This window comes from Homo sapiens, chromosome 16 (assembly GCF_000001405.40).
Source record: "Homo sapiens chromosome 16, GRCh38.p14 Primary Assembly".
Classification (NCBI taxonomy): Eukaryota; Metazoa; Chordata; class Mammalia; order Primates; family Hominidae; genus Homo; species Homo sapiens.
The window spans coordinates 88,741,429-88,756,937 of record NC_000016.10 but is presented as its reverse complement, the minus strand read 5'-3'; the positions used below and the strand labels follow the sequence as shown (position 1 = coordinate 88,756,937).

The window sequence follows — 15,509 nt, the reverse complement described above, 5'->3', positions numbered from 1 at the left end:
CACCCGGCTACTTTTTTGTATTTTTAGTAGAGACAGGGTTTCACCATGTTGGCCAGGATGGTCTCGATCTCCTGACCTTCTGATCTGCCCGCCTCGGCCTCCCAAAGTGCTGGGATTACAGGCATGAGCCACTGCACCTGGCTTGTTTGTTTTTATTTTTATTGTTTTTTGAGACGGAATCTTGCTCTATTGCCCAGGCTGGAGTGCAGTGACATAATCTCAGCTCACTGCAACCTCCACCTCCCAGGTTCAAGCGATTCTCTTGCCTCAGCCTCCCAAGTAGCTGGGACTACAGGCACCCACCACCACACCCAGATACATTTTGTATTTTTAGTAGAGATGGGGTTTCACCATGTTGGCCAGGCTGGTTTCGAACTCCTGACCATGAGATGGCGGGCTTGAGCCATCTTCCCGCCTCGGCCTCCCAAAGTGCTGGGATTACAGGCGTGAGCCACGGTGCCCGGCCCCAGCCACCAGTTTTGTACAGCACTCAGGTGGGTGTGGTTCCTGAGGACATGTCACACGAGATCCTTCCGGTCCATTAGCCCACCCCGCCCCATCAGTGGCCAGTGCGGCCATTGTGGGGTCCAGAGTCCCGAGGCAGAACGACTGACTCCAGGTTGTGGAGGGGCCTCTTAGGATCCTTCTAGGCACCCAGGTTGGGCAGGTGCCTCCATGCCTAAGACTGAGCTCCTGGTGGACATCGGGCTGGGTGTGGGCGTCCTGCACACCCTCCCTGTGGCCTGGTGCCCGTGAGGAGTGGACAGTCACCCCGAGAGCATAGACCACCCTCGAGGCTCCCAGATGGCGGCCGCAGAGCCCCACTTCCCTGCCTGGTGTGTGATACCTTCCATGGCTGAGGACACCTCTGACTGCTCACTCCTGTGACCCTGGACCCAAGTGCTGGGCCACACCTGGACTCCAGGCCCCAGTCCTTCCTTCTTCTGCTGTCCTGGCTCCTGGGTGGCCCCCGCCCTCCCCGCTCCGAGGCTCTGCCCTGTGCTGGGAACCCAGGAATTGCCACCCCCTGGCCCCGGTTTCTCATGTCAGGATCTGCTGGCCAGGTTGACTCCTGAGCGCCACTGTCTCCTCAGACTTGCTGGTCCCACCCGGTCCCCACCTGTCCACCGCCCGAGGCTCTCCTGTGAGGCCGCTCTGCAGCTCTTGGCCTGGGGGCCCCCGGCCTCTCATGGTGCCTTCTGCACTGTCCCCTTTGGAGATGGGAGCTTTGAGGGTAGGCGCCACCGTTCGGTGAAAAGGCGGTATAAGCAAAGCAACCCCCAGATACTGAAGGAGCCGGGAAATAAAAGGAGGCAGACAGAGCAAGTGTGTTGGTACCCGCCTATTTACTGGCAGGAACTTACAGACGGAAACATGGCCTCAGGCAGCCTCCAGGCAGGTAGAGCTCTGAACCCAAACGCCCGATCTGGGGCTCGTATCGTGCCCTGGGAGGAATGTGCAGGTGGCTGGGAACGTGGCGGGTGGGGTGGCCAGATTCCTGCTGCAGCACCGGGTTTGTTTAGGAAGAAACGTACGAGGACTAGACACTCTTTTTTTTCTTTCCTGCACGTGAATGCCAGGGAGTAGGTGCTCCTGCAGGAAGATGATGCATCAACCAGCCAGTCTGGAGGCATTCCGAGACCCGGGGTTAATCAGCAGATTAGCATTTAAATAAAGTTACTCTGTCCCCACAGCCAGCTAGGCCCGAGCCACATGGCGGGGGCGGCGGGGGCGGCTGTTCGCCGCATCCCAGGCTTGCTCCATCTCCTCGTCTGCAATGTGGAGGTGACAGTCGTGGTCCTCGGCTAGTGCCACAGGACTGTACGGGACAGATCACCCAGCCCCGTGCCTGCACTGGGGGCGGCGGTGACGTGATGGCCGCGGCGGTGACCTGATGGCCGCAGGTGTGTCCACCCTCTGGTTAGGCCTCTCCTCTCCCTGGGGCGCAACAGGTGTCCTCGGGTGGGAGGTTCAGCTGCTGGGCCTGGGGCCCCAGCTTTCAGCTCCTGTGCAGGCGTGGAGCGGGACGGCACGCCGGGGCGTTCGTTCACACGATGCCCCCAGCTCGTCTCTGCCTGCTCTGTGATGCAGCCTCAGCTCCTGTGGGTCCCGGGTCACCCACCCGTGTGGGCCGCAGTCTTTCTGCACCACGTCCTGCTCTCGGCCAGCGCTGGCCTGCGGGCCCCGGCAGTGTGGGGTCACACACAGGCCGCACCGGCTGTTTCACGGAGCCCCCCTGCTCAAAATCCTGGCCTTGGGTCTCTGTGTGGCTCCTGGAGGGAGCATGTATGAGGTGTCCAGGTTGTGAAAGCCCCATCCGGCAGCCCTCCCTGTGACAGTCCTTCAGGCCTCGTCAGGCTTGGTTCAGCCCGTGTTAGAGGAGGCCAGACAGCTCCTCCTCGATCACCACAGGGAACGAGGGTTGGGCAGTTTCTCCTCTCCCACCCGGGCGTGGGTCAGCTGCAAGGGTCTCATCCCAGGAACTGGATCCTGGCAGGGGGGCTCAGGCATCTGACATCCCCTGGCAGGTCTTCCTATGTGCCAGTGGGAGTGGGTGGTGTCCAGCCCTCTTTGTGGAATGTTCCGGTTGAGTGGTGTGTGGTCCTGGTTACCACCATGTGGCATTTGTGGCTTTCCTGGCCAGCACCCACTGAAAGCAGAGGCCAGCCCAGCCCTTGGACACCCAGGGGCCCAGCAGCTACCGTGGGGGCAGCCTCTCCCCTCCTGACTGTGCTCCTCTCAGCTGTAGGATGAAGGTCTGTGGATGGGTGATGGCTGGGCTCTCTGCTTCCCAAGGAGCTGGATGTGGGCCATAGTCAGGCGTGTGCTGGTGAGGCGAGGGGGTTGGGGGTTGGGAACCACAGCTCTCTCTGACCCCATCCCATTGCAGCTGACTCAGGAAAAGGCATTACCCCCACGGGGTCACAGGCCCAGCCTGGGCAGCTCCTGATGGGAACATGGGAGCCACAGGGCAGGGCAGGCTCCTGTCCCCGCTCCTTGGATTGTCTCAGGCCCCGCCTCCCCTTTGGCTGAATTTCTTCCTTCTCTGCCTGAGCCTGATCTGCGAAGCTTCCGACCTGCCCTGAGTTGGAGCCAGTCTTCAGGGCCAAAAGCAATGCCGTCTCCTCCAGGCAGCCTGCTCTGAAGTCTCCCCCTCTGGCTTTAGCCCACAAAGTCACAGCTGAGGCCACATCAACACACTTAGACCAAGAGCACTGCCGGCTGCATAGACAGCACAGGTAGATCCAAGGAGTGTTTCGAAAAGCCGTGGCCCTGCGGCCGGGATGCCCGGACCTGGGTCCTGACCACTCTTGGGAGCTCCTCCCCTCTCAGAGCCCATCCCATCTGAAAATGGGGGCATTGGAGCATTGGAGGAGTGCTCCTCACTCCTGCCCTGCTAGCCGGCTACTCCGAGGACCCCAAGACCAGATGATGGGAGAAGTGGTGGGCTGGGCTGTGACCCTGAGCCCCCTTCTCATCCCACCCGTGAGGCTGCCCCTGCTTGGTGTCTGTGGCAAGGCTGACAGAAGATGGCGCCAGGGACCAGCCAGGGCCCTCCTGTCTCAGCCCGTCCTTGGGTGAGTGGGTGTGCTCTGGGGGTGGCAGGTGTGCTCCGGGGGCGGGAGGTGTGCTGCGGGGGGCCGGGTACGCTCTGGGGGGGCGGGTGAGCTCTGGGGGGCTGGGTGCGCTCTGGGGGGGCTGGTGTGCTCTGGGGATGGACAGGTGTGCTCTGGGGGGCGGGGTGTGCTCTGGGGATGGATAGGTGTGCTCTGGGGGGGCGGTTGTGCTCTGGGGGGGCAGGGGTGCTCCGGGGGTGAGTGTGCTCTGGGGGGCGGTGGGTGTGCTCTGGGGGCGGTGGGTGGGCTTTGGGCTAAGTAGCCCTCTTCCTCTCTGAGCCTTTTCCTTGTCTGTGTTGTTGGTGAGTGGCCGCCACCTGGGACAAGCCTTAGCTGTCTGTCCAACTGTCCACCATGTCCCCGGACCCTAGACCAAGCCCGCTGCCTGGTGGGGCCTGCTTGGTATTGAATGAATGAATGAATGGATGAATGGATGAATGGATGAATGAATGAGTGAACAAACTCTGGGGGGCGTGTTGCTGATCACCCCAGGGCAGGCCCGTGGTGGGTCATGGTCTCAGGCAGGGGACTTGCCCTGCCGGGTGACGTTGGCCTGCCGGGGAACCCCTGCCAAGGTGCCTCCCATGCCCCCATCGTCCTCTGCCTTTGAGTCCACTCTGCCCCTCAAGGTTCCCCTCTGGCTCGGCCAGGGGCAGGGCGGTCAGGGAGGCCTCCAGCTCCAGCCCCTCCCTCATCTCCATCCTCAGCCCCTGCACCCGCCTCATCTCCAGCCCCAGCCCCTTGCAGCCTCAGGCTCGGGCTTCTGAGAATCCTTTGCAGATTTCAGGGCTGGTTATTTTTTTATTCTGGCAAAATATACATCCATAAAGCTTTGTTTCCTGAGATGATCTCACCCTGTCGCCCAGGCTGGAGTGCGGCAGCGTGATCATGGCTCACTGCGGCCTCAGCCTCCTGGGCTCAAGTGATCCTCCTGCTCCAGCCTCCTGAGTAGCTGGGACCACAGGCATGCACCATCATCCCCGGCTAATTTTTGAATTTTTTTGTAGAGATGGGGTCTCTGTGTTGCCTGGTCTGGTCTCGAACTCCTGGGCTCAAGTGATCCGCCTGCCTTGGCCTCCCAAAGTGCTGGGATTACAGGCCTCAGCCACCACACCCGGCCTAAAGTTTGTCACGTTAGCCGCATTGAAGGGCACAGGTCAGCAGCGGTAAGCATGTTCGCATTGTTGTGCAGCCATCACTGACACCCATCTCTAGAACTTCTTCGTTTTCCCAAAGGAAACTGCACGCACGGCACCACCTCCCTGGCCTCCCCACAGCCTCAGGGTCTGGTGACCTTCATCCCCAGGACCTACGCTTCTGACTCCAGGAGCCCTGCCTGGTGTCCACACCACACTAAGGTGCCCTGCCACGGGCTTCGAACCCAACCCTGGTGCACTTGTTGAGCATTGGACGTTCCTGGCAGGTCAGACCGTGAGCTCCTCTGCTCTGACGGATGCATGGACGGCTGCCACCTGGCTGGACAGGTGCAGAGGGGAGGTGCCACCTTCTCTGGGGACAGGACTGGGGCAGAACTCACCCGGCTGAAAAGTGCAGCTGTGGAGAACTTCAGAACTTCAGAAGCCTTTGCTGTGAATGCATTTTCCTCCTGCCTCTTGGGCCAGATCTTAGGGATTTTTTTTTTTTTTAATGAAAATGTATAATCGTCAAAAAACTTTAGATTTAAAAGCATGGAGCCGATGGCTATGCTTGGTGCGTTAATGGGAGGAAGAGGGGATCTTAACTTCAGGGAGGGCTCCTGGGGGAGCTGGGGGAGGCTGCTGTGTCCAGCAGGGCGGGCGGTGCCCCCCGGAGCCCGGCACTCCGCGATGTGTGCGCTAAGCCGAGGCCGCCTTGAGCCCGTAGCAGCGCCGAGCGCGATTCTTTCGTGTCTGCTTCCGGGAGGGTGGAAGGGTGAAGCTGTTGAGAGTGGGAAGGGAGGGGCTGTGCTTCTTGAGTTTGCCGTGTGCCCCTGACCCTTTCAGGTGCAAGCGTCAGCTCCACGGTGCCAATGGGGAGATGGGTCTGGAGGCCCCACCAGGCTGTGAAAGGCCCGGCCTCCTGTGCTGTCCGTGGAGGTCGGGGTCTCCCTCTGCCCTGCGCCTCCTCTAACTTGCCCTGCGTTTTCCGTGCCCCTGGTCTAGGGTGAGGCTCGGGTCTTGGGGACTGAGGGGCAGGTGGGTGTCAAGGTGAGAGCTGGGCTGGGCTGGGCCTCCCTCCAGAAGACTTCCCGGGGCTCCTTTGGCACCAAGGATGGGGCAGATGGTGGCACGCATGGCCTCCCCTGGGCACAGAGCCAGACTATGGAGGGATCTCGTTGGCTACATCCTGGCTGGGGCTTTGGGGTCATGGTGGGAGCAGCAGCCAGGGGTCTCGCTTGGACACGGGTCTGAGCTCACTGTGGCCTCCTTCCTCAGCCTCCTGACCGGGGTCCTGAGGCTGGAGGGTGGGTGGAGGGTGGAGGGTGGGTGGATAGTGGGCTGGAGGATGGGCTGCTGGCGCCCCTTAGGCAGCATGAGGCGCCTTTCCAGTCCCAGTGTCCTCCCTGGTAGCCCCGGAAAGGCTGAGTGGTCCCTCAGGTCCCCTGCGAGGAGACGACATCAGGCCCCACCCCTCATCTCCTGACAAACCTCACATTCCTAGGAGGAAGCAGGCCTGGCTAGCACGTGGCAGGCACAGCCTCCCTGACTCCAGACCTTATCAGATCAGTGCAAGTGCCAGGGAGACCCCGGGTGGGAGCTGTGTGGTTGGGACTGATGCAGGCACTGGCCGGACTCTCAGGATGAGGGTGGGAGGCCAGGCCCCGGGACCTTCTGGGACAGGCAGGAGGGCAGACACGGGACATGGTGTGGGGGCTGTGGCGAGTGCGGCCACGCAGAGCATTTGGGCTGAAGGCGCGCTGTGTCCCACTGCCCCATACGTGTGCGGGGGCTCCCAGACACGTGCTGGGGGCAGGAATCATAGCATTTTTTTGTTTGATTGTTTTTTGAGATGGAGTCTCGCTCTGTCGCCCAGGCTGGAGTGCAGTGGCTCAATCTCGGCTCACTGCAACCTCCACCTCCCGGGTTCAAGCGATTCTCCTGCCTCAGCCTCCTGAGTAGCTGGAATTACAGGTGCCCGCCACCACACCCAGCTAATTTTTGTATTTTTTTGTCAAGACAGGGATTCACCATATTGGCCAGGCTGGTCTTGAACTCCTGACCTCAGGTGATCCTCCTGCTGCAGCCTCCCAAACTGCTGGGATTACAGGCGTGAGCCACCACACCCAGCCAAGAATAGCATTTTCTTTCTTTCTCTTTTTGAGGCGGAGTCTTGCTCTGTTGCCCAGGCTGGAGTGCAGTGGTGCCATCTCAGTGTAACCTCCGCCTCCCGGTTTCAAGCAATTCTTCTGCCTCAGCCTCCCGAGTAGCTGGGATTACAGGTGCCCGCCACCATGCCCGGCTAATTTTTGTATTTTCGGTGGAGACAGGGTTTCACCACGTTGGCCAGGCTGGTCTTGAACTCCTGACCTCAAGTGATCCGCCCGCCTTGGCCTCCCAAAGTGCTGGGATGACAGGTGTGAACCACTGCACCCAGCCCAAGAATAGCATTTTTAAAGGAAAAAAAGCAAGGTAGAAAGATGGGTCAAAACCCCAGCGCCCCGCTGGGAGGCTGGTGCCCGTGTCGTGGCGTGTGTGAGATATGTACGGAAGCGCGAGGCGGCTTCCACGGCTCTGGCTCAGGGCAGCACTCACAGGGCACACGGCCTCGGCGGTGTGACGAGCTGGGCCGTGGGTGCGCTGTCCTCTGGGGTGGGGCTGGCCATCCTCTGTTGGCGACCTAGTTAACGCCCATCTCCCCGCAGCCTGCCTGCTCCGCTTCAGCGGACTCTCGCTGGTCTACCTGCTCTTCCTGCTGCTGCTGCCCTGGTTCCCCGGCCCCACCCGATGCGGCCTCCAAGGTAAGGCCAGGGGACCCTGCCCACGCTCTCAGGGTGGGAGGGGGTGGGCATTCGTTTGGGGCCAAAATTCGTACAGCTTTCCTCACCTTTAACAGCCCGGGGTGGAAGATGAGGGGTCCCGAAATAAAATTTTTTTTTTTTTTTGAGACGGAGTCTCGCTCAGTCGCCCAGGCTGGAGTGCAGTGGCGCGATCTCTGCTCACTGCAGGCTTCGCCTCCCAGGTTCACGCCATTCTCCTGCCTCAGCCTCCCGGGTAGCTGGGACTACAGGCGCCCGCCACCACGCCTGGCTTATTTTTTTTTGTATTTTTAGTAGAGACGGGGTTTCACCGTGATAGCCAGGATGGTCTCGATCTCCTGACCTTGTGATCCGCCCGCCTCGGCCTCCCAAAGTGCTGGGATTACAGACGTGAGCCACCGCGCCCGGCTTTTTTTTTTTTTTTTTTTTTTTTGAGACCGAGTCTCGCTCTATCTCCCAGGCTGGAGTGCAGTGGCACAATCTTGGCTCACTGCAACCTCCGCATCCCAGGTTCAAGTAATCCTCGCATCCCAGCCTCCCAAGTAGCTGCAATTACAGGTGTGAGCCACCACGCCCAGCCATCAAAGTTTCTTATTTTCATTGTAGACCCCAAGCTAAGCTCAGAATCTTTTCTGATCCGTGTTGCAGGGGCTGTGAGGGGCGAGGAGGGTCATGGGGGTGGAGTCTCTGTGTCCCTTGGGAGGCCACAGGGAGTGGATGGGCCCCAACTGCCCACTCTCTGCAGGCTCCAGGCACGTTTCCTGCCTGCTGAGGCTCTGGCAGCCTGGGAGTTCCAGCCGCCTGGACCGCCCTCCCGCTGCCCGCTGTGGGGTTGGACCTCAGTTGACTTTGATCCACTTGTGCGGGGGGGGGGGGGAGCTGAGACCCCCCTTGGGAACCACCTTGGGGTCTGAGCTGGGCCAGGACTGTGTTGCTCTCCCGTATCCTCCAAACAGAGGGCGGTGAGGCCACGTGCCAAGCCTGCAGCCTGGGTGACGAGGGTAGCAGCAAACCCTCCATCCTGTGACATGTCACCTACCTGCCCTGTGGGGGCCATGTCCATTTTGTGCCCACGTTTTAGGAGAGCGCGTTTTGGAGCAAACACTCAGAGACCTGTCCCCAAAGGCCATGGGCCAAACGTGGGTGGGGCCGGGCCCTCCGCTGGTCTTTGGGTTTGGAGGGTGAAGAGCCACTGAAAGGAAGGAAGGTCCCCAGGGAGGGCAAGTGTAGGCAGCAAGAGACCTTCCCCAGCAGAGGGCAGAGAGGAGGCCAAGCAGGACCAGGGGGCGTGACTGTGGAGACAGGCTCTTGGGTGCCGCCCTTCTGGGAGGTGCTGGACGCATCAGGCTGGCAGCGTCGGGGCCTGTCCATGGCTACGAGGTGTCCACCGGGCTGCGTTTTTCCAGGGGACTCTGGGGAGGATCTGCTTCCTCTTCCAGCTGCTCCAGGTGCCTACCTTCCTGGGCTTGGGGCCCCTCCCTCCATCTCCAGAGCCGGTGGGGTGGGGTCAGGATCACACCCTGTCTCTCCTGCTCCCTCTCCCCTGCGGTAACCCTGTGGCTTCGTCCCATCTGCCTCCCCGGCTAATCCAGGCCGACTTCCCTGGTTTAAGGTCAGCTGTTGGGCAGCCCCCATTTCCTCTGCTGCCTGGACTCGCCTCTGCATGTGAGCTTCTGCGTTCACAGATTCTGGGGACTGGGGTGCAGGCATCATTGGGGTCCATCGTTCTGCCAGCTGCAGGTGGAAGGTCGCTCTCCGGCCTCGCGACATCTGGCTGGAAGCATCCCAGAGGCTCCTCCTAGCTCGTGGTGCTGTGGGGTGGGCAATGGTCTTTTTTATTTATTTTTTTTGAGATGGAGTCTCACTCTGTCACCCAGGCTGGAGTGCAATGGCACGATCTGGGCTCACTGCAACCTCCGCCTCGCGGGTTCAAGCGATTCTCCCGCCTCGGCCTCCCGAGTAGCTGGGATTACAGGCGCCCACCATCATGCCTGGCTAATTTTTGTGTTTTTGTAGAGACAGGGGTTTTACCATGTTGGCCAGGCTGGTCTTGAACTCCTGACCTCAGGTGATCTGCCCACCTCGGCCGAGACTACAGGCATGAGCTACCGTGCTTGGCTTTTTTTTTTTTTTTCGAGTGGGGGTCTTGCTTGGTTGCCCAGGCTGGAGAGCAGTGGCATGATCATGGCTCACTGCAGCCTCCACCTCCTGGGCTCAAGCGATCCTCCTGCCTTAGCCTACCAAAGTGCTGAGATTACAGGTGTGAGTCACTGTGCCCAGCGCAGGCACTGATCTTGGATCATGGGTAGAATTCAGGGGTGCAGAGAGGCATTTTGGGAGGGGCCCAGTGCGGCCGAGTGCTGGGAGTCGCTGGGGCCCGAGGCCCAAACCCCTCCAGGATGCATGGCTGGGGTGGGTGGGCACCCCCACTCCCGGTCCCTATCCTGGGCCTCCCCTTTGCTCTGTGGAGCCGGTTCTGTCTGTTCCCAGGCCCCTGGCGTTTCGCCGTTTGTTCCGTAAATATTTCATGCCCAGGGCGCAATTGGAAACACTTTCCTTTAATCAGCAGTGGGGGAAGGCAGGCGCCCAGCCAGGCCAGGGGAGGAGCTGGGGTGGGAAGATTTGGAGAGGACCCGGGAGGACTTCCCTGCCTGAGCCTCGTCAGAGGCCCTTCAGAGACGGAGATGCTGCCCAGTTTTCCGGGAGGGAGAGAGGAAAGTGTGAGGCTTGCCCGAGCCGAGTGCCCGGGGCTTTATGATTTGTGCAGCTGCTGGGCTTGGCGTGGCCCTGGTGGAAGCTCTGACGCCATCTGAGCCTTGGTCCCCTTGTAGGCGTCAGCCTGATCCTTGGGGGGCTGGAGGTTGAGCTCAGACTGAACAGGGAGGAGAGGGGTAGGGGCTGGGGCTGGGGCAGAGGGAACAGACCCTGGTGCTCCAGGCAGGGCTGCAGGCAGAGCCACAGGGGGTGGCTCCCAGAGACCTGCTTGTCATTTAGGGACTCAGAAGCCCCATCCTGCCTTAGGATAAAACCCACCTCCAAGACTGACCCTGCTGTCTGGAGAGAGATCACCCCCCACCTCTTACCATGCCCCGTGCAGGGAGGCCCTGCCACCCTCTCCAGCTTCACTGGTCCCCCGGCTCTGCCAGCCTTGTGTAGTCTCCATCCTCTGTCTCAAAAGGCCCCTCTCGTGGCCCTACCCCGCAGCTCAGCCCTAGCTGTCGCTGGGTGGGCCTCATGGCTCAGCCTCAAGGCACCCTGGGTCCCTTGGCTGGTCCCATGCACACCCCATGGATCAGGTTCCAGGGGGCTCCCATGCACACCCCACGGATCAGACTCAGGGCAACTCCACACTCCCCACAGAACAATCAGGCCCAGCCCTTGTCCGGCAGGTGTGGGGATGGTGGCTATGGACCACGCATCAGGATGCTGCCGTGGTGGGGCCCCTCAGCCTTTGCAGGCCGTGCCGGGGTCCAAGGGCTCCGGCTCTGGGGGAGGTCCATGCTCTGTCAACCATCCGGTCTGCAATACCCTGGGGCCTCCCCGCCCCTTCCTGTTTCCTCCTGAGAGCCCTGCAAGCTGGAGGGGGAGCCCCGGCCCCTTTTTTTTTTTTTTTTTTTGAGACGGAGTCTTGTTCTGTTGCCCAGGCTGGAGTGCAGTGGCGCGATCTCAACTCACTGCAACCTCCGCCTCCTGGGTTTAAGTGAAAGTGATTCTCCTGCCTCAGCCTCCTGAGTAGCTGAGATTACAGGTGCCCATCACCACGCCTGGCTAATTTTTGTATTTTCAGTAGAAACAGGGTTTCACCATGTTGGCCAGGCTGGTCTCAAACTCCTGACCTGAGGTGATCCACCCACCTCGGCCTCCCAAAGGTGTGAACCACCACGCCAGGCCCCCTGCACCTTCTTCTGGGTGGGCAAGAGCCATGCTGAGCCCCTCCCCTGCCATGGATAGGGGTGGCAAGAATAGTCCATTCCCCATGGGCTCCCTCCGGCAGGCAGCGGATGGGTTGGGGCCCACACAGTGGTTCAGGAAAGGCTGAAGGGCGGTTGCCGGCCAGAGCTGGGCGGGTCCCTGGCCTGAGCCTCCTCTCACTCCCTTTCCCAGGATGGAAAGGCCACTGTGAGCTGGGTGTGTCCTGCCAGGAGGGAGTTGGAGTCGGGGGCAGGAGACCCACTGGGTCTCCTGGGCTCCTGGAAGAGGCAGCAGTGGGTCCCTGCGGAGGTGGCCTGATCCCCGGCTCAGCCTGGTTTTCCCAGCTTTGCATTTGGGGGTGGGACCTGCAGGGGGAGAGTGACGGGGTGGGCGGGGACAGGGGCTGCAGGTGGAGGCACGAGAAAGCCACCCGACCCCTTGAGGTCATGCTGTTTGCGTCGGAGAAGAGGGCCGGTGTCAGGGTGCCCCCTCGGCCTCTGTGTGCACCTCCCCGCTCCCCGCCCCGTGCAGGTCAGCAGAGCCTCGATCCCTCTGCACGTTCCGGCCCCCTCCCATCTCCAGCAGCGTCTCTTCCCGGGGTGCCCCTCGGACTCTCAGCTCCCTAGTCTGATCCAGCCCAGGCAGGGAGCGGGCGTGCCACGTGGCCAGGAGTGGCCTCCAGGCCCAGCTGCGGCCCCTTCGACCCTGCGGAGGGATCATGGCCCAGCTGTTCTAACATGGCCAGACCAGGACACTCTGGCCGGCCCGAGAACTGAACCGGGAAGGAGGCAGGGAAAGGGGAGGGAGGAAGACAATGGGGAAGCAGTGACATCCGAGATGTAGCCAGAGACGGACATCCTGGACTGTCGTGCAGGGCAAGGCGGGTGGGCGGGAGCCAGGTGGCCTGAGAGCCCCTCCCTGCCCAGGGGTCTCTGGTCAGGCAGTTCCTTCCCGGGCTGCTGGATCGTGTGTGCAGGGAACCCGTCAGCCTGGCTGCCCAAGGGCCCAGATGTCCTCTCAGTGCCCGGGGGTCCTTGACAGCCCCAGCAGGAGCCCCACGTGCCTGTGGGGCAGGCCCCGCAGGTCCCTCTCTGTAGGACTCAGAATACCTTCTCCAATGCCACGTGCTCTCCCTGAGTGCCCAGTGCCACAGAGGGCCCCGCTGGCGAGGTTACTTCAACGTCAGGCTAGAGGGTGCAGCGAGCAGGACTCACAGCCCAGGTTCCCAGGCAGGTGTGGCAGGAGCCCATTCCCTGGGTCGGTGTTCTCATGTCACCCCACGGTGACCCTGCTGTACAGAGGCGGGGGCGCGGGGCCCCTGGCTGGTGCCCTCCTGCTGCCAGACTTGTGCTCTGCTGAAGAGGGGCTGGCGCGGCAGGTATGAGCCCGGCACGGAGGTCGTGAGCAGTGAGAAGCCTGGCACCTATGGGTTCGGGGCAGGGAGGCCCTGGAAGGTCCTGTCCTCCGGGAGCCCTGCACAGCACCCCCTGGTGGTGGCTCCTGTTCGTGTCGGGGCTGCAGCCTCCCTTCCTGGACGGTTTTCCATTCCTCCTTCCCACTCTCCCTGCTGCTCACCCCTCCCATCCTCCACAGGTCAGAGGTCATAGCTGCAGGGTCAGCAGGTCAGGGCCTGGGGCAACCCTAGGAAGGTGTGAGTGTGAGAAGCTGGTCCAAACCTGCCTCGGCTGCCTGGTGGTGCGGACAGGGAGTCCTGGGCATCCGTGAGGGCTGCTTCACGGTCAGGCTTAGGGATGTGCAGGGTGACTTGGACGTGGGTCATGAGTCTTTGCTCCAGAAAGAGGGGGCTGAGTGTCCAAGGCCAATCCCGAGTCTGTCACCTAACACCATTTGTGCTCAAAAAACTGAACAGAGTGGACACAGGCCCTGAGTTTGCGCCCCGAGGCCGAGAGAGGGCAGATGTGGTGGTGACATTCACCACCTTGGACCCAGACCCAGATGCTACCTGTCCCTGAGCTCCAGGAAGTTGTGAGAAGGGCCTGAGCTGTTCTGCACTTTCTCGTGGCCGGGCGTGGCTGGTGGTGCAGGAGTTGCTGCCCCAGGGTGAGGGCCCGGAAGCTCCTGCCAGCACGTGCCGGGGTGGAAAGGGAAGCTGTCCACAGCCCTGTCAGGACTCAGAACCCGGTGGGTCAAGGACTTTGGTCCGGACCCCTGCTGAAGGGTGAGCTGTCCACATGTGCGCCGAGAGCAGAGGTGAAGCCAGGGCTCCTGAGTGCCCCCAGCCACAGGGTGCGCCCGCCCAGCCCCTGCCCTGCAGCCGAAGGCCTCCCTGCTGGGGGGCTGAGTCCAGTGGGGCCACAGGCAGCTGGGAGCAGGACAAGGCTGCCAGGCAACCAGATGGTGCTGCCGCTTCCTGCCAGGTGTGGGTGCACAGAGAGAGAGAGGATGCCGGTCTGGGGCCTGACCTGGTGCACAGCAGGTGCCTGAAATGCCAGGGTGGCCATGGGGACTGGGTACCATGCATAGGCCATGCATCGGGATGCAACTTCTCCTTGCAGCCCCTCAGCCCCAGGGAGGCAGCTGCCTGCCCCACTTTTCTCCAGAGCCATCATGGCCCTGCTCCCACCCCAGCCACGGCTGCTCAGGGGCGCTCCGCATGCTCTGGTCTCCATCCACCTGCAGCCCCCACTGGGGTGAGGTGGAGCTTCTTGCCTCTCCTTGTGTCTATTTCCTCTGCTTCCACAACTGAACGGTGACAGGTATTTGCTGGATGAGGGAGCACACCCCAGGTGGTTTCCTCTGAGCCTGGGAGGCCTTTTCCTGCCTGTGGGCCCCAGGCCCATCCTGCTGCCACCCCCAGGAGGATGCCCGGCTCCTTGTGACAAGAGTGACCCTCGGGAGGCGTGGGGAGTGGGGCTGGCCGGCCTGCCTGATGGGGTCCTGAGTCCATGGCGGGTTTGCATCTCAGGCCTCTGGGCTCTGGCCGGGCTGGGGGCTATTGTCCGGCTGAGCGGCCTGGGCTGCGGCCCCTCCCCGTCCCCGGGACCAGCCTCACCCACTCGCTCTGCCGCAGGTCACACAGGCCGCCTCCTGCGGGCATTGCTGGGCCTCAGCCTGCTCTTCCTGGTGGCCCATCTCGCCCTCCAGATCTGCCTGCATATTGTGCCCCGCCTGGACCAGCTCCTGGGACCCAGCTGTGAGTCGCTGAGGGGGCGGGGTAGGGATAGCCATCCTGGGGGTCAGGGAGAGGGCCCTGCAGTGACCCCGAGTCTCCTGGGGGGGTTGACTCAGCCTGATTTATGTCTGGCCTGGATGGTCCAGGTGAAACGCTCCAGGGATGACCAGGCCACGGTGCTGGCTGGGCAGAGCCTGACCTGGGTTCCCCCGTCTTTCTCTGCAGGCAGCCGCTGGGAGACCCTCTCGCGACACATAGGGGTCACAAGGTAAGACCATTCCTCCCACCCCCAACCAGCAAGCCTCCCTTGGGGATTTCAGGCCCCAGGAAGTGGGGGGACCCAGGAGGGACAGAGGGGGACCTGGAGACTCATCCACACTCCCACCCACACCTGGAGACCCATCCACGCTCCCACCCACACCTGGAGACCCATCCACACTCTCACCCGCACCTGGAGACCCATCCACACTCCCACCCGCACCTGGAGACCCATCCACACTCCCACCCGCACCTGCAGACCCATCCACACTCTCACCCGCACCTGGAGACCCATCCACACTCCCACCCGCACCTGGAGACCCATCCACACTCCCACCCGCACCTGGAGACCCATCCACACTCCCACCCGCACCTGGAGACCCATCCACACTCACACCCACACCTGTCCTCTTGGTCTGACCGCGGCTGCTCCCTGCTCTCCGCAGGCTGGACCTGAAGGACATCCCCAACGCCATCCGGCTGGTGGCCCCTGACCTGGGCATCTTGGTGGTCTCCTCTGTCTGCCTCGGCATCTGCGGGCGCCTTGCAAGGAACACCCGGCAGAGCCCACATCCACGGGAGCTGGTGAGGGCAGCTGCGTCACCCGTGTGTCAGGGAGGTCATTCGAGAGCTG

General features: G+C 61.9%; 1 protein-coding gene and 1 long non-coding RNA gene across 2 annotated transcripts in view, besides 2 other annotated features; one reads left to right on the top strand and one right to left on the bottom strand.

The window, feature by feature from the left end:
- Positions 1–15,509, top strand: part of PIEZO1 (piezo type mechanosensitive ion channel component 1 (Er blood group)) — a 69,883-nt gene that overhangs the window by 28,283 nt on the left and 26,091 nt on the right. Inside the window, exons 2-5 of the mRNA NM_001142864.4 lie at positions 7,459–7,554; positions 14,516–14,638; positions 14,843–14,885; positions 15,322–15,460. Coding sequence (NP_001136336.2) covers positions 7,459–7,554; positions 14,516–14,638; positions 14,843–14,885; positions 15,322–15,460 — 401 coding nt within the window. The remainder of the gene's footprint in view (positions 1–7,458; positions 7,555–14,515; positions 14,639–14,842; positions 14,886–15,321; positions 15,461–15,509) is intronic.
- Positions 11,190–14,171, bottom strand: PIEZO1-AS1 (PIEZO1 antisense RNA 1). The gene is made up of 3 exons (NR_120387.1): positions 13,448–14,171; positions 12,594–13,346; positions 11,190–11,849 (listed from the first exon to the last, which is right to left on the bottom strand). It is a non-coding gene; the product is annotated as a PIEZO1 antisense RNA 1 (long non-coding RNA).
- Positions 11,311–11,370: a silencer, noted in NCBI's record as "silent region_7873". NCBI's record gives its function as "represses an Ori minimal core promoter by ATAC-STARR-seq in GM12878 lymphoblastoid cells {active_cell/tissue: GM12878}" and the evidence as "EXISTENCE:reporter gene assay evidence [ECO:0000049][PMID:35858748]".
- Positions 12,388–13,074: an enhancer, noted in NCBI's record as "H3K27ac-H3K4me1 hESC enhancer chr16:88810272-88810958 (GRCh37/hg19 assembly coordinates)". NCBI's record gives its function as "activates a minimal SCP1, AML or CMV promoter by ChIP-STARR-seq in primed H9 embryonic stem cells {active_cell/tissue: H9 hESC(primed)}" and the evidence as "EXISTENCE:reporter gene assay evidence [ECO:0000049][PMID:30033119]".